At 42.9% G+C, this 23365-nt stretch overlaps 1 protein-coding gene across 15 annotated transcripts in view, besides 2 other annotated features; it reads right to left on the bottom strand.

Annotated features, from left to right (window-relative positions):
* The window catches only part of LAMA3 (laminin subunit alpha 3), a 265614-nt gene that overhangs the window by 68032 nt on the left and 174217 nt on the right, over nucleotides 1-23365 (bottom strand). For 13 of the 15 annotated variants that reach the window (XM_011525978.3, XM_011525982.3, XM_011525980.3 and 10 more), the window contains 6 exons: nucleotides 22152-22250; nucleotides 19118-19201; nucleotides 15374-15604; nucleotides 10628-10741; nucleotides 4990-5099; nucleotides 2182-2262 (listed from right to left, as the gene is read on the bottom strand). In XM_011525978.3, the coding sequence (XP_011524280.1) occupies nucleotides 2182-2262; nucleotides 4990-5099; nucleotides 10628-10741; nucleotides 15374-15604; nucleotides 19118-19201; nucleotides 22152-22250 (719 nt within the window). Of the gene's footprint in view, nucleotides 1-2181; nucleotides 2263-4989; nucleotides 5100-10627; nucleotides 10742-13819; nucleotides 14016-15373; nucleotides 15605-19117; nucleotides 19202-22151; nucleotides 22251-23365 lie in introns of those variants that run through there. The other 2 variants (NM_000227.6, NM_001127718.4) reach the window with 1 other exon arrangement.
* Nucleotides 13446-14645: an enhancer, noted in NCBI's record as "MED14-independent group 3 enhancer chr18:21452354-21453553 (GRCh37/hg19 assembly coordinates)". NCBI's record gives its function as "activates an origin of replication core promoter dependent on BRD2, BRD4, P300/CBP and CDK7 cofactors, and independent of MED14, by STARR-seq in HCT116 cells {active_cell/tissue: HCT116}" and the evidence as "EXISTENCE:reporter gene assay evidence [ECO:0000049][PMID:35650434]".
* Nucleotides 15249-15298: an enhancer, noted in NCBI's record as "active region_13165". NCBI's record gives its function as "activates an Ori minimal core promoter by ATAC-STARR-seq in GM12878 lymphoblastoid cells {active_cell/tissue: GM12878}" and the evidence as "EXISTENCE:reporter gene assay evidence [ECO:0000049][PMID:35858748]".

The raw sequence follows: 23365 nt of genomic DNA, 5'->3' as shown, positions 1-23365 counted from the left end.
ATGGAAAATGGAAAACAGAAGAACCTTCCATTACCATCTTTTGCCATAGAATTGGGCTCCTTAGCTGCTGCTCAGTGTCCCCAGTCTAAGGCAGTCCCCACCTCCTACACATGGCAAGTGTCTTCCAGCCCCTTGGGCTTTTCTGCCTTGCTTCCCCAACCTAACCTGCCTCCCACTTCCATCTTCTGGCTCCACTGGGTTCTAGTAACCCCTTGGACCTACCAAAGTCCCACCTTATCCATAAACATTTCAGATAACCCCAGTCTAGGGTGGTTATGCCTTACTTGAAATCTGGTTGAATTCATTTTCCGGTTAAACAAAAATTAGTCAAACTCTTTTAAAGTTTAAACAAAACAATGTAAATTAAAATGATACACAATTTTTCTCTATCAAATTGGCTTTTTTTTTTCTGTTGCCCAGGCTGGAATGCAGTAGTGCGATCATAGCTCACTGCAGCCTCGAACTCCTGGGTTCATATGGTTCTCCTACCTCAGCATCCCAAGTAGCTGGGACCACAGGCACACACCACCACACTTGGCTAATTAAAAAAAAAAATTATGGAGATGAGGTCTCTCTATGCTGCCCAGGTTGGTCTCTAACCTCTGGATCACATGAAATAATCCTCCCAACTTGGCCTCCCAAAGTGCTGGGATTACAAGTTTGAGCCACCATGCTTGGCCCTAATTAGCAAATATTTAAAATATTGATCCTTTCCAATATCCATTGTGGTAGGTAGTCACTCATTCTCTTTTGCTGCTGTAAGAATATAAACTTTTCTGGAGGGCAATTTTGCAAAAAGTATTAAAAGCCTGGAAAACCTATCCTCTGACCCAAAGAATCCACTTTTACAATTATACCTTGAGGATATGCATACACAAATATTAAGCTGCAAGGATTTAATTTTAGTGTTGCTTTAAATGCAGAACAGTAAAAGGATCTCCAAGACCAAGAGTAGGAGATAATGGAAACCCAGTGGAAATTTTTGGTCATTGATGTGATGTTATCAGTGAATACTTACTGATATGGAGAGATATTACTAACATAGTATTAGATAAGAAAACAAGTCAAAACAGAAAGTAAAACAGGAATCTACTTTTTTTTTTAAGGGTTCACACATTTAGAAATGATTTGTAGGAACAAACAGCCAGCTTTTTAACAGTGGCTTTCTGTAGACAAAATGATTATGAATAGGATTGTATGTGAAAGCGTTTGAGTGCACAGGGCTAGGTTGTAGGGGGGCCCTCACTGGTTCTCTGCTCGTTTGTTTTTCATCATTTTATAATAAATATGTATTGATTTTATGAGAAAGTTATTTTAAATTTTAAAATATGTAAACCATATGATTCATTTTTCATACTGTTACTTTCCCAAATATGTGTGTGCTTTCTTCTCAGCTAGGTTATAAGTATCTTTTATATCTTTCTCAGTACTTGGCAGTGTCCTATGCATAGTGGCTAATCATGAAAATTGTCCATGAATAACTAAAGCTTGGTTCTGCAGCCCTTTGTCATTAATTTTACAGTTTCCATTCCACAACATTTATTATTTTGTTTCACAAACATTACCGAACACCTATTATGTGAACAGTACCATTCTTGGAACCAGGGATTCCGAAATAAACAAGACATAGATTGTCCTGAAAGTGTTCAAAATATAGTGTGGGGATAGAGGGGTGTGTGTGGGGTGGGGGTGGGGGTGGGGGGGTGGGGGGGCTATCTAGGCTAGGGCTGTGGATATGTGTGTGTACGGAAGAGTGTAGACAGTTGTACATGTGTACAGGTAAGTAGGGATACGTTGAGGGCAGGTGTATGTGGAGATATGTGGAAGGGACATGTCGAAATAGGGGGTATGCAGAGATCATTGTGGAGGAGGGGTAGGTAGGGAGGTGTCGGGGGTTGAGGTACACAGGGGTGCGTGTTGGGGGGATGTAGGTAGAGCTACTTGTGGGTGAGTGTATGCGTTGTGCCTCATTCTCAGTTTTCTGAAACGTACAAAGCAGGAAAGAGAATGATATTAATGATTTATTAGGTGAGCAGTCTTGTATTTTTCCCAAGAGACCTTTTTCCAGGCCTCAGTCAAACTCCCAGCCCCACCCCTAGCTCTGTGCCAGCACCTGGCAGCCCCACCCACAGCCCTCCCCGCCCCCTCTGCAGGCTGAGGCGGGAGGGGCGCCCACCTTACCTTTCACACTGTGTTCCTGTGTACCCAGCTTTGCAGGAGCACCGCACGTCTCCCCCATTCACCACACAGCCAGTGGCAAAGCTTGAAAGAAGACAGAAAAAGGCCCCATCAAAAACACAGATCGATAGGATTTATGCTTATTTTTTACCACAAAGGACTGGCTTGTATTAAGTGAGCACTGAAACCCAGGGTCTGGTTACTTTGTGTGAAGAAAATTTTGCCCATCAAGACTTGGAGAGATAATGATGAATGATCTCAGCCGACACAGGGCAATTTTGGTGAACAAGGACTGAAGGCATTTATTTTATTTGTTCCTTGGGGAAGAGCATTTTTTCCCCTTAAGACAGAGCAGAGTAACTCACTTTGGAAGAGATGATTACAACAGCATTTTTCCAGGAATAACAAGGAAGGAGTAAAACAAGTCTAGGCAGAAAAAAGAACAGAGAGTTCTGATTCTTTAAAAAAAAACGTTCTCCTTGTTGATTCTAGTTCTTTTCTATCAGGCACATTGCCTTCTGGGAAGAAAAGTTGGTGGGGAGGCCAGGCCCTGGAGCCCCCTAAAGATGCACAGAGACCACTCGCCTGCCTCGGCATTTCTGTGGGCACAATCATTGCTGATTCTCACTTTTTTTTCAAACCAAGTTGTGGAATTTTGATCCCTTTTCTTTTAGCTCTAAAGTGGTGATATTTTACACTTGATTTTAGCCAAAAGGCTGAGAAGCAATAAGTGATGATATTTTAGAAGCAGCTTTAAACACACACACACACACACACACACACACACACACACACACACACACACACACCAAAGAGACCATGAAAAAGCCCTGTTGTCTGCCACTGGACATGACACTGATGACATCTGAGGGAATATCACTCCATTTGCTGGTAAGAGAATGCCTGTTTAGGAAGCCTCTCAAAAGACAGTTAGACATTGGTCAGCACTATTAATATTGCAGGAAGGAGAAATAGATACAAATAGAGTTTTACTGATAAATTCAAAGACCTACGTGTTACTTCAACTTATGGAAGCTGGAAGCTGACCTTGATGCTACTACGCTTTGCAAATGAAAATGAAAAACTTTTTCCAAGCACCCCAGTGGAAATCTCGCTGCTTTCTACTTTTGCCAGCTTCTCTTCAAACAAGTCTGGGCAAGCTCATGTGATTGATCCCTTGACAAATAAAGCTGCAGGATGGGGCGGGCTTCACGAGCATCAAAGACATAGACAGCAAAGCAGGGTGAGCATTCCAAATAGGTCTCTCCAGAGAAGCCACACTTGGCACATGACTTCTGGTGATGTTAGGACTTGGCCCATGTGTCTGTTAAGGGCTGATATAGGCCTGCCTTTGTGATCCACACTTGTTTCTGAGTCTATGTACTAGTGAGATGTTCTCAGTATCTTCTTGATTTTCAGAACAACTCTTGCTTCACTTAGTTTGTTACATCATTCTTTGCTTGGGCCCACAGTGAACCCTTTGTGATGAGTAAGGATATGACAAAGTGCCACACTTAAGGAGAGAGGGGGTTACCTTGAAAACACAGTGGTGGATTCCTACCTATGTAGTCTATTGGTCACTCTGGAGGCTGAATGAGAGCTCAGATCACTCAGTGGCTCAGAACTGCCCCAAAATTTCCATCGCACTGAGGATAAGATCCAGATGCTTGACCACAGCCTGCAGGGTTCTGCAGGATCTGGGTCCTGGTTGCTCCACCAACCTCACCTCTGGCCCTCTTCACACTGCACTTCTGCCACTCCTGCCTTCTCACTGCCCTTGAACACATTGTCACAGGCCTTTTCCTTCTGTTTCATCCTTGTCTAGGAGCCTCGTGGCCAAAATACTGCCATGGCTTCCTCTAACTTCAGGCCTCCTTGGCCACCCCTCTAAAGCAGCCACCCCCTCACTGTCAGTGACACAGCCTATTGCAGAAAATGTCATCTCTATCTCCAGTTATACCTCTTACTGATTAGTGTGTGTATTTATTGAGTGTGATGACTCCCACCCTTTCTCTCCCTCCCTGCCACACTCTAGGTCAAGCCCCAGGAGAACAGGGACTGCCTCTGTCTTCTTCCTTCAGCTTCCTCATCACATAGATAGGGCTGAGGCCTGGCCCTGTCATGGGTGCTCGAAAAGTAGCTGCTTAGCCACTGAATGAACAGTAAAAGAAAAGAGGGAAAGGAAAAGCCTGGAAGTATACAACTTGGAAAGACGGTTTCTGTTTGTTTTCTTTTTTTTTTTTTTTTAAGATGGAGTCTCGCTCTCTCGCCCAGGCTGGAGTGCAGTGGTACAATCTCGGCTCACTACAGCCTCTGCCTCCTGGGTTCAAGCGATTCTCCTGCCTCAGCCTCCCGAATAGCTGGATTACAAGGTAATTTTTGCATTTTCAGTAGAGACGGGGTTTCACCATGTTGGCCAGGCTGGTCTCGAACTCCTGACCTCAAGTGATCCGCCCTCCTCGGCCCTCTAAAGTGCTAGGATTACAGGCATGAGCCACCACACCCGGCCTATTCATTTGTTTTCTTGTATGTCGTGTTTGTTCATTTTAATATCACAGCTTTATTGAGATATAATTTACATATCATGCAATTCATCATGTAAACTGTACAATTCAGTGGCTTATAGTATATTCACAGAATTGTACAAACACCACCACAATCAATTTGAAAATGTTTTCATCCCTTCAAAAAGAAATCCCAGACCCTTTGGTAATCACTTCCCATTCTCCCCACCTGCTCTCCCACCCCTAGTCCTAGGCAGCCACCAAACGACTTTGGGTCCCTGTAGGTTATGTCAAGCTGCTACGGTACCTGTTAGTGTGAGGACATGGGCAGGCCCTGCAGGATCCGTGGACGGCGTTGCCATAGTAGCCCTCCTGGCAGCGTTCACAGTGCTCTCCCGCGGTGTTGTGCTGACAGTTCTGGGGACAGGTGAACAGCACAATTCACAGCAGCCAGTACAGTCCCTACTTCTGAGATTATTGTAATCTTACTTAGTCACATGACTACAACTCAAGTCCTCTGACTTTGCAGTGATATCAGCTCCTCTAACCATGTATTTTCCCTATCCCTCTAATCATTGCTGGTGTTAGAAAAGAGGGGTAAGTGTCCTTCCCTCAGTGACGCGGTGCTTAACATTGGCAGCGTGACATAGTGGGGACAAGCCAGCTGAGTCCCCATCCCACTCCAGCATCTCAAGGCCACGGAGCCCTGGGGCAAGATCCTTTCAATTGTATCAATTTTACTTATATCAATTTTACTAGTGTATGATTTACATACAATTATAATTTTCTCAAAATGTAGTTAGGATAATGCCCACTTTCTAAGCCTGTTGGGAGGATTTAAAAAAGCAAGTGTACTAAGCTCTTGGGAAACGTAAATTCTTTTCTTTCTTCCCCTTAGCACTGCTTTGATGAAAATTACCCTCATTTTACTTCACGGTTCACCTAACAATGATATACTGAAGAGTGATATTATTGAAATGAGTTCTTAACACAGAATTTGTTAAAACAATAAAAAATTGCACAGTATCTGAAGAAAATACTCAACTGAATTCCAGTGTCCCAAAGAAGCAAGAAATTAATGTTATCTAAGCTTTTTATTTATGTAAATCCAATTATTTTCACATCAAAGTTGCTGTCTAATGAAATTTGTTCTTCAGTAAAGTGTTGAGATGAAATAATTTTGCAACCAAGTGGTCTATTGAGACAAAACCTAGTGGATTGGGTCAAATTTGTTTATTTTCTTGGTGTTACCCTAGCAAAAAAGATCTAAATGCACAGAAACATCCAGGAAAACTCCCCTTGCTGTGGGCATTTGCTAATATGGAGACACTTTGTGTTAATTTTATGGGCTGGAATAAGTATAATTTTAAACATTTGCCTATGTATTTTACTTCTGTATGCAGAGGTGTTGCTTGAGTAGGAAACTTTAATGAGTGTCAGGGGTTTTGTGTTTTGCTTTTTGTTTTGTTTTGTTTTCAGACAGATTCTTGTGCTGTCGCCCGGGCTGGAGTGCAATGGCCTAGTCTCAGCTCACTGCAACCTCTGCCTCCTGGGTTCAAGTGATTCTCCTGCCTCAGCCTCCCGAGTAGCTGGGATTACAGGCACCCACCACCATGCTCAGCTAATTTTTGTACTTTTAGTAAAGACAGGGTTTCACCATGTTGGTCAGGATGGTCTCAAATTCCTGACTTCATGATTCGCCCGCCTCGGCCTCCCAAAGTGCTGGGATTATAGGCATGAGCCATCGCGCCCAGCCATGAGTGTGAGTTTTTAAATAATATCTGAAGGTAGATTGGGAAAAGCAATATACGTTTATATCCCAAGAAGACATGGCTTGTTCATAATGAAAAAGGTTGCCCTTCCATCATAAATGCCGTCAGTTTGTCCAGATTGAGCAAATCCATCCTTCACTAACCTTTGAGTAACTGAAAATTACACAAAACACTAAGATGTTAAAATATCCTTTCTTTTTTTCCCAGCTATAAAATTGTGCTATAAACATAAGATATTAGTATTTCAGAGCATGTGGAGGGGCTTTAAAGTAGGATGCTGCTCACGTGTTCACATTTGCTTATCATCAGAAAGCTCACCCCTATCCGGAATCCTTCCTTCCCCAAATCTCACTGCACTATGGGTCCAGACTCCTTCAGGTCTGGACACTGGGAACAATCTTCCTTGCAGTTGATTAGCTCCACAGAGGAGTCCTCTCACGGGTGACTGAGGAGGACACCAGCGGCTTCCCTCACCCTCACCCAGTCTTCAGCTGCCCTGACTCTCTCAGAAGACATCAGTCCTTTGGAACTAATACTTTTCCATTTTAGTTCTCTTTCTCTTTTAATCCAAATGACAATTTAAAAGTAGAACATGACTGTATAGATATATTTCAGTCCTGTGTCTACTTAGCTCTGAGACTGAACACATTGGAGAAGCAAGAATGTACAGATGCAAGAATTGAGGTGAGGACATCCGTATCCTACTAAAATCACTCTGAGTACTGGTCCTTCACAGGGGTGAGAGGAGAGGATCAAGGAAGAGTGTCAAAACCCGTGTTGCTTGACAAAGTCCCGTAAAAATATGTGAGAAACCCTTCACTGTCAGTTGAGAGTGGCCACCCTGGAAACTGTCCTCAGTCCTGCAAACTTGGAGCACCTCCCTTCAGGTTCCTTGTGTTTTACTGTGAATAAATAAATGAACGAATGCTGCAGAAGCCCACGTCCACTCCCATGGCACGTGCTCTCCTAGCTCCATTTGTCACCAAATATCTATTAGGCATTTACTATATGCCCAACTATGCTAGGCTCTAGCGATGTAAAGAAGGGTTGGTCCCTCGACTCGGGGTACATGTAGTCCTGTGAATAGACGTATTCAATATCACGTGGAAAATAGGACACAAGTGTGCCAGCATCCCACGAGAGCAGGAGGAGGGGCTGCCTGCGAGGGCCGCAGAAGGACAGGGATTCACTGAGCGCAGAAGTGAGGGAAGGGCATTCCAGGCACAGGGGACACAGCGTGCAGAACCTCAGTCTCACAATAGCATGGCAGTGTGTGGAGGGAATGAAAAGCAAAGGGCGTGCCCAAGGCAGAAGTGCAAGGGGGCGGGATGCAGCTAGAAAGAGCCCCCAGTACTGTGCTAAGGGTCGTGGGCTTCCTTCCGTCTGTGAGCCTCAGAGGAGCACCATGTCAGCTGTGAATTTCAGATAAATCATTTGGAAATTCCATTGCAACTGCAGAGGGGAAGATGGGCTCAAGTAGCAGAAAATAAAAGAAGGAAGATGAAGAAAGAAGACAGAAAAAGAAAAGGGGAGGGAAATAGGAACGGAGAGGAAAATAAGGGGTGACGGGGATAGTAGAGAGGAAGGGGAATTGGGGGGAGAGGAGAAAATATGGGGAGAAATTGGGGCAATGAGAAGAGGGAGAGATGGGGGTCTCAGCACATAGGAGGAGGCCATCATCGCAGGTCCCTCTGGACGGTGGCACCCACATTACCCGCTACTCCTGCCCTTGACACTGGACACCTACTGCTGTACTGGCAAAAAGTTGGGCTACTTATCTTTTCAAACTTCAGAGTCTATTCTTGAAATATCTTGAAGATTTGCACCTGGGTGAAGGTCCTGATGTTAAACATTTACTTTGGACCTTGAGAGGTGGAGGTCAATTTGCAGTGAAATCAGCCAGAAGGCCCGTTTGATATTCAAATATACTGGATTTCCTCTTTACTGTTCTTTGAGAACGAGGAATGCATTCTCAGCTTCCATGCAGTGGACACAATTCAGGGCAGCATCAGCACTCAGGACTTGCCACGGAGCCGTTAGCTGAGTGCAGACATGGGCTCCGTGTGTGTGTGCGTGTGTGTGTGAGTGTGTGTACACACATACACATTGCCTACTAGACAGCAAGCCTCGTGAGTGTAGGGATTAGGTCTGATGATTTTTAACTCCAGCACTTAGCTCAGTACCTGCCACACTAGCAAATGCTCAGTGAGGATTTCCTGAATGAAGAGTCTCTGGCGGCCACATGGCCATTAGGGACAAGTGAAGACAGAACTACAAAAAAAATAAAATGGGAAAGAAAATCTTGTTTGATTAAAATATGAATTATGACTCTCACAAGTTTTCCTTTCAGTGGGTGACTACAGAAAAAAACCCTCCCTTTGTTCTTTGGCAGCTTTCATAAGATGGGCTTGACATCTGGCAATGGTTCACTGATAACATATTTATTCTTTTTTGTTTTTGTTTTGTTTTGTTTTTTAGACAGAGTCTTGCTCTGTCACCCAGGCTGGAGTGCAGTGGCGCCATCATTGCAAGCTCCGCCTCCTGGGTTCACGCCATTCTCCTGCCTCAGCCTCCCAAGTAGCTGGGATTGCAGGCGCCCACCACCACGCCCAGATAATTTTTTGTATTTTTTTAGTAGAGACAGGGTTTCACTGTGTTAGCCAGAATGGTCTCGAACTCCTGACCTCGTGATTCACCTGCCTCAGCCTCCCAAAGTGCTGGGATTACAGGCATGAGCCACCGTGCCCGGCCAACGTATTTATTCTTAATTAAAGCATCTACTCGTGTTACACAAAACATACAATATCAAACATGAACTATTCTATAGGAATACTAACGAGCTGGAAAACAGTATTTCCCAATACCCTTTACTCTTTTTGAATTTATAAGATTACAATCCAACAAAATATTCTATCAGTTGGCTCTTCACAACAATTTCCTCTTCTAGCCTGTCCCATCTTGCAGAGGAAGCAGTTCCCTGGGCCACGGTGAACGAGCTTAATACGGTCTAGGAACTCATACTTGAAACACACTCTAGTTGCATTACACAATACAAAGAAAATTTGTGCCAGAGGAGTGCATTTCCAAAAGGGCACAACACAACTGAAGCCCTGTATTCCTGGAGTATGCTCCCTCTTTTTCACTGTCCATTTTCCTCACTGGGGAGGCCCTGGTTACCAAGAAGAACTCTAATGAAACAAAAGAAAAAAGCAGAATAAAAAAGGTTCTGCTTCAGGATGCATAAGAAAAATTTCCTAAGAAACTAATTTTAGGTAGAAGAATTTTATAAAATATTCCAAAATAAGATCATGTTCCAGTGGATATGCTGTAGTCATCCAAGACAGCCTTGAGGCCATGAGAAAATATAGTCAATATAGGGAACAGGCAGGCGGTGGATGTTGTGAGGACGGGAGGGGTGAGCAGCACTTTCCCTTCCCCACGACCTCCCTCATCTGTCTTCTCCAAGCCCCGCTCTGTCTTGGCAGTAGTGAAGCTTGTGTTGGACTGATTTCTGTTTGTTGTTGTTGTTGTTGTTTATGGTGTGGGGGTGGATGGAATGCAGACCGAGTTTTGTTCTTGTTGCCCAGGCTGCAGTGCAGTGGCACGATCTCGGCTCAGTGCAACCTCTGCCTCCAGGGTTCAAGCAATTCTCCTGCCTCAGTCTCCTGAGTAGCTGGGATTACAGGCACCTGCCACCATGCCCAGCTAATGTTGGACTGATTTCTTATGAGCCTTGAGCCCTCCTCAAATCCCCTTCTCCCTGGCTGCTTTCTTGAGTTACTGGACATCTGACAGCAACAAGCCCCACTCCTGTAACTTCCTGCCGCCCCAACAAAATTGGGACCCAAAGTAGTGGCTTGGATTAGTTTTGTCCTGGCAAGAGTTAACTTCCAAGGTCCACCCATTACTATCATTTCACGAAGGAGAGATTTAGAAGCTAAAGTGTAACTTAATTGCTCAGACAGCAGCGCTCTTTTAATGGTGCATGTTAAAATGGAGGAGAAAATGAAATGTAAAATAATTCAGCCTGATAATGGAGCCTCATATATTTACACAGCGACCTCTATTTAGGGTTTGGCGGGAGATGTAATGTTGATGTCTTTGGGCATAGTACAGGGGAATGGAGGAGAAACAGATTGTCTGCTGATAGCATTAAAGTGTCAATTTACTCACAACACATATGCCTGAGCCATCCTGGCATTGATTTGAATGTCCGTTGCAATTGCAGGGAACACACCGTCCGGTATACAAGCCTTTATGATCCCGATAGTATCCAGGGCTACAACCCTATTTTTCAAACAAAGTGTTTAATCAATACAAAGAAAGAAAACAATTACTATCCAAAGCATGTGACACCTCTCACTGTGAAGCATTCACATCATTTTTATTTTTTAGACAGGGTCTCACTCTGCTGCCCAGGCTGGAGTGTAGTGACTATTCACAGGTGTGCTTATAGTCCACTAGAGTCTTGGGCTCCTAGGCTCAAGCAATCCTCCTGCCTCAGCCTCCAACGTAGCTGGAACCACAGGCATGTGCACCACTGAGCCCGGCTGAGGCATACATTTTTCAAACCTTCTTTCCTTCAGTGAGTGTGAATATTTTTAATTTCAACCACCTGTCATGTCCACTTGTTTTTCTCTCAAGCTGTTTGGTTTTCATGCCCTGGTGGGAGTGTGAGATGCATGGTGGGGAAATCAGAGACAGGGCACGTGTGGAGATGGGGGATGAGAAGGGGCTCCTCTCTTCTCACAACTGTTTTGAGGGCAGGTGGAGAAGGTGGAAATGGACAAATAAAGAGACTCGTCCTTAGAGGGGAGGACATCTAAGCAAATCACTTCAAGTCCAAATTATCTTTGGCTAGCCGTTTTCTCTCCAAGTGTGGGTTTGGGCTGGTGAGGGGGCAGTATAGTAGGAGTAGTGGGTTGTGGGGAATAGGAGTCTTAACTGAGATTTAGACAATCATGCCACAATCAGTGGAGTCACTTTATTGCCACTCACTAGGCCATGGGCAACAGAGAAGCCAGGGGAGGGGAGCGTGCATGAGGTTCCCATACAGGACTGTTCACGAACATCTGGTCCACCCGAACACACAGAGGCTCAGCCTGAGGGACTCTCCTTGGGTTGGTCTTGTTTCCTTGTTCAATCTTGATTTGATTATTTCTATCTCCTGTATATTATCTCTCTCCAGTATAATACAAGTTATGCATTTTCATCTGGATGAAAAGAATTATAATTTTCTTTTCATGAACTAATATCTTTTTAAAAGGATTCTAGTTAAGAATCCCTCCAACAGAAAAAAAACAATTCTTCTTATACCAGCCATTAAAATTATTTAGATTTCTGTCTTTAAAGGAAATTATAGACATGTCCTTTATTTTGGCAGAGCAAATCAGTGCACAGATTCAAATCACATATTGGCTGGTTGTGGTGGCTCAAGCCTATAATTCCAGCACTTTGGGAGGCCGAGGCGGGTGGATCACTTGAGCCCAGGAGTTCGAGATCAGCCTGGGCAACATGGTGAAACCTCATCTCTACCAAAAAATACAACAATTAGCCGGGCATGGTGGCACATGCCTATAGTCCCAGCTACTCGGGAGGTTGAGGTGGGAGGATCGCTTGAACCTGGGAGGTGGAGGTTGCAGTGAGCCACGACTGCGCCACCACACTCCAGCCTGGACAACAAGAGTGAAACCCTGTCTAATAATAAATAAACAAAATCAGATATTGTCCCTAATTTATTTCTCTGATCTCCTATATACCCTATCTTGAAAGCATCAGGAAAACTATTTCAAGATAAAGGATAGTCTTTTATCAAATCTTCTTTAAATAGCACATATGTCTGTAAAACTTGGAAACTATACTCAAAGGAAATCTTGAAGTAGACAGTCCATTCTTATTCACTCATGGCCATAAAGGTCTCTACCTGGTCCAGTGGAAGTGAGAAAGAAGCCACCTGACAGGAGAGAGAGGCAGAAGCCTCATGTGCTCCGGGAGTGGAATCTCCCAGGTGTTGCTAGAACCCCTTCCAAAATTACCAATGAATATAGATCATGCACAATAAGACCACAGTTTCCAATATAATGTTCCTTTAAGCTATTAGGAACCATGTTTAGGGCAAAGAGTATATTGCAAATAAATAGATTATGTTGTTATATGAACAGGCTTGCCTAAAGGAGAATCAAAGTATGAAAGGAATGTTATTTTGCTGAAAGCACAATTGAGATTTACATGTGAACGAAATGCAGCCAATGATGGTGTCATTCTATCTATTATACAATCTGTCCTAATAAGTGGCAAGTAACTTATAATTATCAGTGTATATCACATTACCTGCTTACAAAATAATCACATTTGGTAAAGAGCAAGTTATTCAAATAAGCAGATAGATCTGGTTAGTTTATGACAACATGCCTGAGAAAAAAGCCTTAATTAAACATGCTTTGGGGGAGTATAGTCTGTCCTGATTAAAACTAAATCACCCATCTTAATTTGCTTTTGATTACAAGCAGAAAATATACTCTGCAAGAGTTACATATCATGTGACTCTGAGGATTTGTCAGTTACTAAAATAGAATCATTTTTTCACCTCTTATAAAGCAAGCAAAACCACATTCTACAAAAAAATCAGTTCAAGTACTCAGATTATATTGAACACTCACTTTTAAATGAAAACGAATGTGTTCTAATGCACTATTTCAATACAGGGGTTTTATAACTAGTTAACATGATGATGTTTTATGTTAAGTTTTCCAGTAAACTTTTGTAATACATATTATATACAAATGATAATATTATGTCCCTAATCCAGTTTCCAGGGCTGTATCTGTAGCCATAGGATCTATTTCTCTGTAAGAATACATGCAGCATCCAGGAAGTTTAAAGAGAGCAGAATTTCTTAATGTTTCATGCCTGGCAAATGGAAGCATGTCTTTTAGGTATTATGCAAACTTTGATCACTTTTCTCAAGCATTGGATTTCACTCTTTCCCATTTTCTCCCCCCCGTGGGTAAATTTTCTTCCAAGTAGCATTTGGAAAGCTATAGGCATTGGACTCTTTTGTTCTGAGGCTTGGGATGGTCTCTAAAGGGCATAAAGTTTCATCGTATATTAACATCCCGCAAGCATTCAAGCTCTTAACTGTCTCGGCATTTCCAGGTGGGCTGATGTTAATGGGGTTTGCGGTTAATAGCTCGGGAGAGCAATCTGTCAGGCACTGTAATAAACACTGCCAGTCAAGGTGACTGGGAGGCCATCAGCCCCTCCTCAGTCCACCCATTTACTCATTAATCACCGTAACTGTAACTTAAAATGTCACAAAGCTGGAAACTCTTCCCTATCACAAACCAAAACTTAAAAGGACGTTACCTGGCTGGGTCTAAACTCCACATAACTCGCTTGCAGTTGACTTTGACCGGGAGGCTGAAGAAATGGCACCCTTTGCTGCTGTGAACTGTAGCCCAGACACTGCCCCAGGGCTGCCCCAAAGATCCACAGCCATCCCATGCTGCAGGCTGACCGCCTCACTGCTGGAGGCATCCCGGTTCCTGGACGTCCGCTGGCTGCGCAGGAACCTCTGCCTCTTCCTCTTATACCTGCCCTTCCTGCTCAGTGCCCGGGCCTGCCTGACTCAGGTGAGGAAGGCTGTCTGCGGCAGGGGCCCCACCTTTAAACTTCACACATGAGTCAGCCTGTGCCAGAGCGCACATAACAGTCCCGCAGGTAAGCGCACCGCTCTGTAATTCCTGTGAGGTGGGGCGGGCATCACCTTCCACCCACCTCACCCTGCAGACGCCCTAAATCACAGGCTGAGTCACGGGCAGGGAACACGCCCTGGGTAGGAGGGTGGAAATCCAGAGTCCCTCTCTTTCCCTCGGGCTATCAATTTTAATCAGGCTAGAAAAGAGATGGAGGAAGGGGAAGAATGTAGGCAACCTGTGGGCTAAATATTACAACTTTGGAGTCCCCAGAAGACCACAGCAGGTCAGATTTGTTTTTGCAGGTTTAAAAAGTGGGAACTCGTATGCGCAGATCACCTTGGGGTTTTCGGCTACCAGGGGGCCAGGAAAGAAAGTGAAAGGTTTTGCTAAGCCTACGTACTTATGGATGTATGGAATACACAGAATGAGTGTTTGCTACTTTTATTAATCATGCTAACGTTGTGCTTTTGCCCTGATCTTTAAGAAAAGACATACTTATAGCCAGAGAAATTAAACAGTTTCATTTTATGGCACATTTTAATCATCTGAAGACAGCTCTGGTTGACTGGACCTCAAACAACGAGAGTCCTGCTGCAAGCTAGAACATAATGTCCTCTAAGAAATCCAGGATATTCTCTGGAATTCAACTCTACTGGGGAGTTGAGAGTGGGTAGAGGGAGGCTCCGGATTAGAGAAAGGTATAAGGTCAGTTATTGGGAAAGCAGGGGCTCAAATACTAAGATGCTGGCTGGTGAGCTCCTTCATTTAAAAAATATGTTATTTTAAAAACTGATAAATAATAATGATAAATACTTATGGAGTCCATAGTGATGTTGTGACACATACAACGTTTAGTGATCAGATAAGGTAATAACATATCCATCATCTCAAACATTGATCATTTCTTTGTGTTGGGAATAGTCAATATCCTCCTTCTAGCTATTTGAAACTATAGTACATTATTTTCCTACCCTGGATTTCTCTAACCCTCAGCATCTATTGAATCTCTGTGGCTTTCCTATGAATTCTGAGACACTGATGATGTCTTTTTCACACTTAATTCCTGAAGGGAGTCTAAGTAAGATATAAGATAAGCCCTGCAGAAACTTGAACAGAGAAACAATAGACAGAGGGCCCCAAACCATCCCACAGTGCTGGACAGCAGCCAAAAACGGCCACAGGAGCTCCCTAGGGAAATGTTGCGGATGGGAAAACTTCCTACCTGACAAGAGTCACCAGCGTAGGCAGGGGGGCAGGCACAGATTTCCACAGCAAGTGCTATGCGCCCACTTCCTGTGTCAGAGGCTTCCTCTAGCCCCACCTCGCTCAGGGTGAGCCTTTGAGTCTCTGTGAAGTAGAGGCCTTGGATGCGCACATCTGCCAGTCTAGACAGCACTGTCATCAGCTCCTCCCTAGACACTGGGGCACGGCTGCTGGCATGTCTGAAGTTTCCCTACACATGGAAACAGAAAGTCAGGGTCTTCCTTAGGCAGGCTCACTTCCAGGGGTTCCTTAGAGGCAGACACCCCGAATGAATCAAAAACAAGACACTTAAAATGCATAGGGAGAAATGAAATAAGACGGGGAAATACCTGCCTCCTGGAGTATTTACATTTAGAAGTCAGGTGTCCTGGGTTATTCCCATGAAGGAAGGAAAAAAAATGAAGGCAGGGAATAAGGGGCAATAAAATGAAATAAAATTCCCAGTGTCCAACTTATCTTTTAAATGTGCTTTTGTTTGTGCAAACATAAGGTGAGTGAGAAAGAGGGAAGGAAGGCATATGGAAACTGACTGAGTCATGCAGCTCAGGTCATTCATTAAACGTACACATCGGTGACAGAAAATACAATCTTTTCTTGCACAAACGTTTATATTATTTTATTTTAATTGTTATTGTGGTAAAAAACACACAACATGAAATTTACCATCTTAACCATTTTTAACTGTACAGTCTTGTTAACTATAAGCACAACATTGCACAACAGATCTCTAGAACTTACCAGCTTGCAAAAGGGAAACTCCATACCCATTGAACAATTCCCTTTTTCCCTCCCCAGCCCCTGGCACCACTATTCTAATTTCTGTTGCTAAGAATTGACTATTTCAGATAATTCATATAAGTGGAATCATGAAGTATTCGTCCTTTTGTGACTGGCTTGTTTCACTTAGCATAAGGTTCTCAAGGTTCATCTATATTATAGCCTATGACAGAATTTCCTTCATTTTTAAGGGGGAATAATATTCCATTGCATATATCTATATATACCACATTTTCTTTGTCTATTCATCTGTTGATGGACATTTGGTTGCTTCTTGGCTATTGTGAATAATGCTGCAATGAACATGAATGTGCAAATATCTTGTGAAGATTCTGTTTTCAGTTATTTTAGATAGATATCCAGAAGTGGGACTGCTGGAGCATATGGTAATCCTACTTTTAATTTTCTGAGATATTTCCACAGTGTTTCCACAGTGGATGCACCATTTCACATTCCCACCAAGAGGGCTGAAGGGTCCCAATTTCACCACACTCTTGTCAACACTTGCTATGTTCTGTTTGGTAATTTTTGTTTTTTTTTTGAGACAAAGTCTTGCTCTGTCACCCAGGCTGGAGTGCAGTGGTGTGATCTCAGCTCACTACAACCTCTGCCTCCCGGGTTCAAGTGATTCTCCTGCCTCAGCCTCCCAAGTAACTGGGATTATAGGCACGTGCCACTACACCTGGCTAATTTTTGTATTTTTAGTAGAGACAGGGTTTCGCCATGTTGGCCAGGCTGGTCTCGAACTCCTGACCTCATGATCTGCCCACCTCAGCCTCCCAGAGTGCTGCAATTACAGGTGTGAGCCACTGCACCTGACCTAATTTTTTTTTTAATGTATTTTTGGTAGAGACGAGGTTTTGCCATGTTAGCCAGGCTGGTCTCAAACTCCTGACTGCAGGTGTGTGCCACCACGCCTGGCTAATTTTTTGTATTTTTAGTAGAGACAGGGTTTCATGGTGTTAGCCAGGATGGTCTCAATCTCCTGACCTCGTGATCCACCCACCTCAGCCTCCCAAAGTGCTGGAATTACAGGCGTGAGCCATTGCGCCTGGCCTCCAAAAGCCTGCCTTTTTAACCTTTATATTTTGTTGCCCTTGTTGAACTCAGTTTTTACATCTCTTAAATAGGCACAGTAATACCTAATGTCTTGTGCTATCATTATAATTAAGGTAAATTAAATGATACAATATATATAAAGTGTTCAGCACCATTCTTAACAAATGGTAGCTATTACTAACATACAAATATGATGCTTATATAATTTTAATTTATATTTTAGCAGCTTAAGGAATAATTTACATACAATAATATTCCCTCATTTTAAGCATACAATTTGTAATAAATTTACGGAAGCATGCAAACATCATCATAATGTAATTTTAGAACATTTCTATTACCTTAAGAAGAACCCTTGTGTCAATTTGTAGTCACTACCCATTACCACCCTCAAACCCAGGCAACCACTAATCTACATTCTGTCTCTATGCATGTGTCCATGCTGGACGATTTATATAAATGCCAGCTTAATTTCAACAGTATACAAAAACTTTGTTTCTATTAGTATCATTCCCTCCTCTTCTCTGGTATGTTACTATCATATAAATTGCATCTTTATACATTGTGTGCCATTTCCAGATGGCTGCAAGGCTTTGAGTAATTTCCAGAGTTCTGAAAACGTTGATTCTGAACTTTTTTTCCCTGTTTGCCAGTTCTCTCATTGCTTTTATGAAGGACAGAATTTTTAGAGATTCTCTATCATTTTACTGATATCACCTGTCTCACATAAATAGAATCATACAATATGATACTTTTTTTGTGTCTTATAGCAAGTATCAATATTTTGTTTCTTTTATTGCCAGATAGTATTCCATTGTATAGATGTACCTTTTCAGAAACATTAAAATATGTCTGCAAGTTCAAAGTACTCAAAAAGTTTCACCTAGAGGTACTGGTCATATTTAATAATATAAATGGAACACTATTTTTAAGGAATAGTTGTAACCAAATAAGTATAACAAAAGTTTTATGATCTGATGAGCTTTCCTTTATTTTGCTAGTATTACTCTTATTTCTTTGGATGTAAAACATTTTCATAGCTTTTCTATTCATTCATCCTAAGCATATGTTGAACATTAACCAGGTCTCAGGCACTGAGGGAGACCTGAGGATGACAGAGAGCTATGTCATAGCATTTATAAGCTCACAGGTTTTTTGTTTGTTTGTTTGTTTGAGACAGGGTCTCACTCTGTTGCCCAGGCTGGAGTGCAGTAGCGTGACCATGGCTCACTGCAGCTTCGACCTCCTGGGCTCAAACGATCCTCCCATCTCAGCTTCCCAAGTAGCTGGGATTACAGGCACACCCCACCATGCCTATTGAATTTTGCTTTTGTGCAGACAGAGTTTTGCCATCTTGCCCAGGCTGACTCATGGGGTTTTTAAGATATGGATAATTAATTGTGAAATGGGAGAGAAAGTGTAAAAAGGCTGGACAGATGGTACCAAGAAAGCCACATGGGCATCAAACACTCCACATTTTATATAATTCATGTTTTGAATCTATACAAGTTGGGTATCTCTGAAATGTTTGTGACCAGAAGTGATCCAAGTTTCAGAATTTTTTTTCTATTTTGGAACATTTGCATTGTATTTACCCACTGAGAATTTCTAATCTGAAAATCTGAAAGCTGAAATGCTCCAGTGAGCATTTCCTTTGAGTGTCATGTTGGTGCTCAAAATAGTTTGCGTTTTGGGGCATTTTGGATTTTGGATTTTCAGATTAAGGATGCTCAACCTGTATATATAAACATATTTATATAAATAGAATCCATATTTTACAATTCTTAAAATGAGTAAAAATCATGATTGTCTGAAATAATTAAGTCACAAAACAGAAAGGACCATCCTATGGTTGCTCTTCCTTTACCTCGACCACGTGCACTCGTCCATGATGCAGCCGGTCTGGCCGTGGGGTGTTTGTCTCCTCATAGATGATGGACATGTGCTGACCCTGTTTAAAGAAAACCATGAATGTGTTAGTACCTTCACTGGGATCTTTCAAGATTTATAACTGATCTAAGAAAACATTTCTATGGTCTACATCATATGACATACCTGACTTAAAAAAATAGTTCAGAATTAACTGACTGGTAAAAATATTAGTGACATGGAAACAGAATAATTATAAGTAACACAGTGTCTTTTCACAAATAGGAAATCAGGAAAATTGCCTTGGACAAAAATAGCTTAAAAAGATGGAATTTCTTTTTTTTTTCTTTTTTTTTTTTTTTTGGCAGGGATGGAATCTCACTCTCTTGCCCAGGCTGGAGTGAAATGGCACAACCTTGGCTCACTGCAACCTCTGGCATCCGGGTTCAAGCGATTCTCCTGCCTTAGCCTCCCTAGTAGCTAGGATTACAGGTGCTCACCACCACACCCTTCTTATTTTTGTATTTTTAGTAGTTTCACCATGTTGGCCAGGCTGGTATCAAACTCCTGACCTCAAGTGATCCACCTGTCTTGGCCTCCCGCAGTGCTGGGATTACAGGTGTGGGCCACTGCACCTGGCAGAAAAAAAAATTTTTTAAACTATGCCTTGCAGTCAATGCAGGAAGTGCTGTTTTCATTACTGGCCACCGAACCAGCCTGCGGTGGGAAGAAAGTGCTTTGGTGGGTGGGTTACTGAGGAGGGTGGGGAGGGCAGAGGGTTGGCACATGCAGGGAGCTGCAGCTGGCATGTGGAGCGAAAAATTCCCCTGCTGCCTCCCCCTGTGGGACCCAGCCTCACTCGCTCTCAGCCTCCAGCCCACCCCATTATGGTGGCTCACATGTGCATCTTAACAGGGCAAGGTGGGGTGGCCAGCACTACTGCATCAGCACCCTACCATCAGCAACCCTGCTGCAAAAACACACACATGTCCCAGCTTTTCTGCTGTAGCACAAAACCCTAAAGGTGTTTGGTATTTCATTAGGGCTGGTATTTCAGAAAGAAGGCCATTACCTAGGATCACATATCATTTAAAACCTTAATCTAAGAAACATGCCCTAGAGGCTCTTAATTACAGTGGATTAGAACAAAGCAGCAGGGAAAATGTTTTGTGAGCCTAAATTATTTTCCATGTTTGAAGGTAAAATTAAACAGAAAATTTGGTCATTACCTCTCAGTGAATTCTAATGGTTTGCACAATAAACTCTTTGGCAGTAAAAAAATACGCCTGGCCTGAACTACAAGATGCTCTGCAAAAACATGAAACTGAAATACAGCACTGCTGTGACTGTGTTTTTACTGTGTAGCTATTTTTCCTTAGACTATAACTCTAAAATCTTTGCTGCTTTATCTTCAAGATATTCTGCAAAGGTTCCTTGGAGTTTTTAAAACAGTTTAGTAGATTTGCATACCAGTAAAAACAAAGCAACACAGCAGTGCCTGAACACAAATATCTACCAAGAATATGCTGTGATGAGGTGTGTGTGACTTGCTGGTCCCTGTATACAGTACATGACATGAGAAAACCTTTCCCAAAGCTATCATTACATCGCATTAATCACACCCAATAAACCAGAAATAGAGCCGACTTCAGGCAGTGGCACCCTACCCTATGTTTAGGGTATTATGCCCTGTGTCGTGGGGAATTCAAAGTAGGATGTGATACTACCCTTGCCCTCAAGGAATTTTCTAGACTGCCGCACTGGATTGTGTGCCAGGCACATAGTGTGTGGATGTTGTTACTTCCTTTCTCAAAAAACAAACGTCCCCTCAGTGGTGGGTGGACTACTTGAGGTCAGGAGTTTGAGACCACCCTGGCCAACATGGTGAAACCCCATCTCTAAAGAAAATACAAAAATTAGCCGGGCATGGTGGCCCATGCCTATTATCCCAGCTACTCAGGAGGCTGAGGCAAGAGAATTGCTTGAACCAGGGAGGCAGACTAAAAATCCTGTTATAGCATCAAACCCTTCCAGACTTGTTTTCAATGACTCTGCACACACTGATGATACAGCCCCATTGGACTGGTCATCCATGAGCACAGCCTCCTGCCCTGTACCACCCCCGAGTCCTGTTAGCCTTTGTCCCTGCCCCTGGAAGGGCACTTCTCTTCTTATGCCCATTCTTAAAGACTTAGCTCAAAATGAACCACAAAGTCTTCTAAGGGCCTCTCAGACCACATGACTCCCATTCCCCCTACCCAGACCCCAGCACTGAGAGGGCCCTGTTTGGCTCTCCTCCAATAGTTACCATTCAGTGGGTTGGAGTTCCTGGCATATTTCTCTAATCTCCCCTCCTTTTGAGAAAAGGGGTCACCTGTCCTTTACAGAGTCCAACAATATGATCTTGCCCCGTGGTAAGGATTCAAAGACATTTATGAAACAAAATTGAAAGATAGAAACATAAAAAATGCTTAATATGTGGCTGGACATGTGGCTCACGCCTGTAATCCCAGAGCTTTGGGAGGCTGAGCAGGGAGAATTGCTTGAGCCTAGGAGTTTGAGGCCAGCCTGGGCAACATAGTGAGATCCTATCTCTACAAAAATTAAAATTAAAAACTCCTCAGCTGGCCATGGTGGTGTGTGCCTATAACTCCAGTGCTTGGGGAGGCCAAGGCAGGAGGATTGCTTGAGGCCAGGAGTTCAACTCCAACCTGGGCAACACAGTGAGACCCTGTCTCTACAAAGATAAAAAAAGTTCAAAAAAAGTTTAACATGAGGCAGTAACTTGTGAGAGGCAAAAGCAAAATACGGTTAAGTACTTTGGAGGCAGAGAAGACAGACAACATTTGGTCAGAGGAGGCAGGATCCTGAAAAGATGTTACATGCTTTCAACTTTCATTTAGTTTCTGCAAAATATTGGAAATGATTTAATCTAAACTTTTTGTAGGCCACATATCAAGATGTCCTAAATTTAGATCAGCACCAACTGCAACTGCCACTTCCTGCCACTTAGGTCATGCTCTGATACCTACAGTGAGCTGTACATCCGGCTTCTTTTCCAGAAGAACCATGTCGCCAGGCAAGCCAAAGGACTTGGCTTGGTAAGTGAGGTAACCACCATATGAAGAAACCTAAAATGGAATTAATAGCATCAATAGCACAAGCATTAAAAGAGATGATGTCAACATCAACCCGCATGAAAAGCACTTAGGCACACAAGGTGTGGAAAGAAACACACTCGACCTGGTAACAAGGGTTGTATCTAGGAGGTGGGGTTGAGGATGGTATTTTTTCTACTTTATGCTATTTTTAATGTCATTTGAAATGTTTAGCATGAACATGATTGAGTTTTACAAGCAAGAAGATACCTTTATTAAAAGGAAAAATATGGCTGGGTGTAGTAGCTCATGCCTATAATCCCACACTTTGGGAAGCCGAGGCAGAAGGATCACTTGAGGTCAGGAATTAGGGACCAGCCAGGGCAATACAGCGAGACCCTGTCTCTACAAAAATATTTAAAAATTAGTCAGGTGTGGTGGTGCACACCTGTAGTCCCAGTTACTCAGGAAGCTGAGGTGGAAAGATCGCTTGAGCCCAGGAGTTTGAGGCTGCAGTGAGCTATTATTGTACCACTGCAGTGCAGCTTGGGCAACAGGGCAAGACCCTGTCTCTTTTAAAAAAAAAAAAAAATGAAAGAAAGAAAAGAAAGAAAGTAAGAAAAATAATAGTCGTGTTCCTTTTTTTTTCTAGATGATTACTAAACCAAAATGTTTATTTAATCCACAACTATTCTAGGAAATCTAGGCCATTGGTTTCTTTTTTAACTGAGAGAACTGGATAATATCTATCAGTCACAAAATAACCTCTAAAAATAAATTTTCTCCAAAAACAATTCTCCTGAAAGCAGATGGTGAACATTTCCCAAATTATTGTGAGTTCTGCTGTGTACAGTAGCCATGGCTGACAACTCCAGCAGGTGCACAGACCTCTCAATGTCCCACAAGCAGCATGATGGTGGTGAGGACATGGAGTGAATGGTCAGTTTTCTGACAGCTACTTCACACCTTGGGTCCTGACACCTCCCATCCTTTAAGTAAAACACAATCAAGAAGGAAGAAGTGACAGAAGGATGAAAATCACAGGCAAGGTCACCTCTGATTAGACAGAACAAAATAACCTATAGGAAAATGCCAACAACTTAGAGCAGGCAGGGGAAAGAAGCCACGCTCTTCTAGGATCCCATTCA

The sequence above is a fragment of the Homo sapiens genome, chromosome 18 (assembly GCF_000001405.40).
Source record: "Homo sapiens chromosome 18, GRCh38.p14 Primary Assembly".
Classification (NCBI taxonomy): domain Eukaryota; kingdom Metazoa; phylum Chordata; class Mammalia; order Primates; family Hominidae; genus Homo; species Homo sapiens.
The sequence above is the reverse complement of the archived record's forward strand: the minus strand, read 5'-3'. Positions and strand labels throughout refer to the sequence as shown.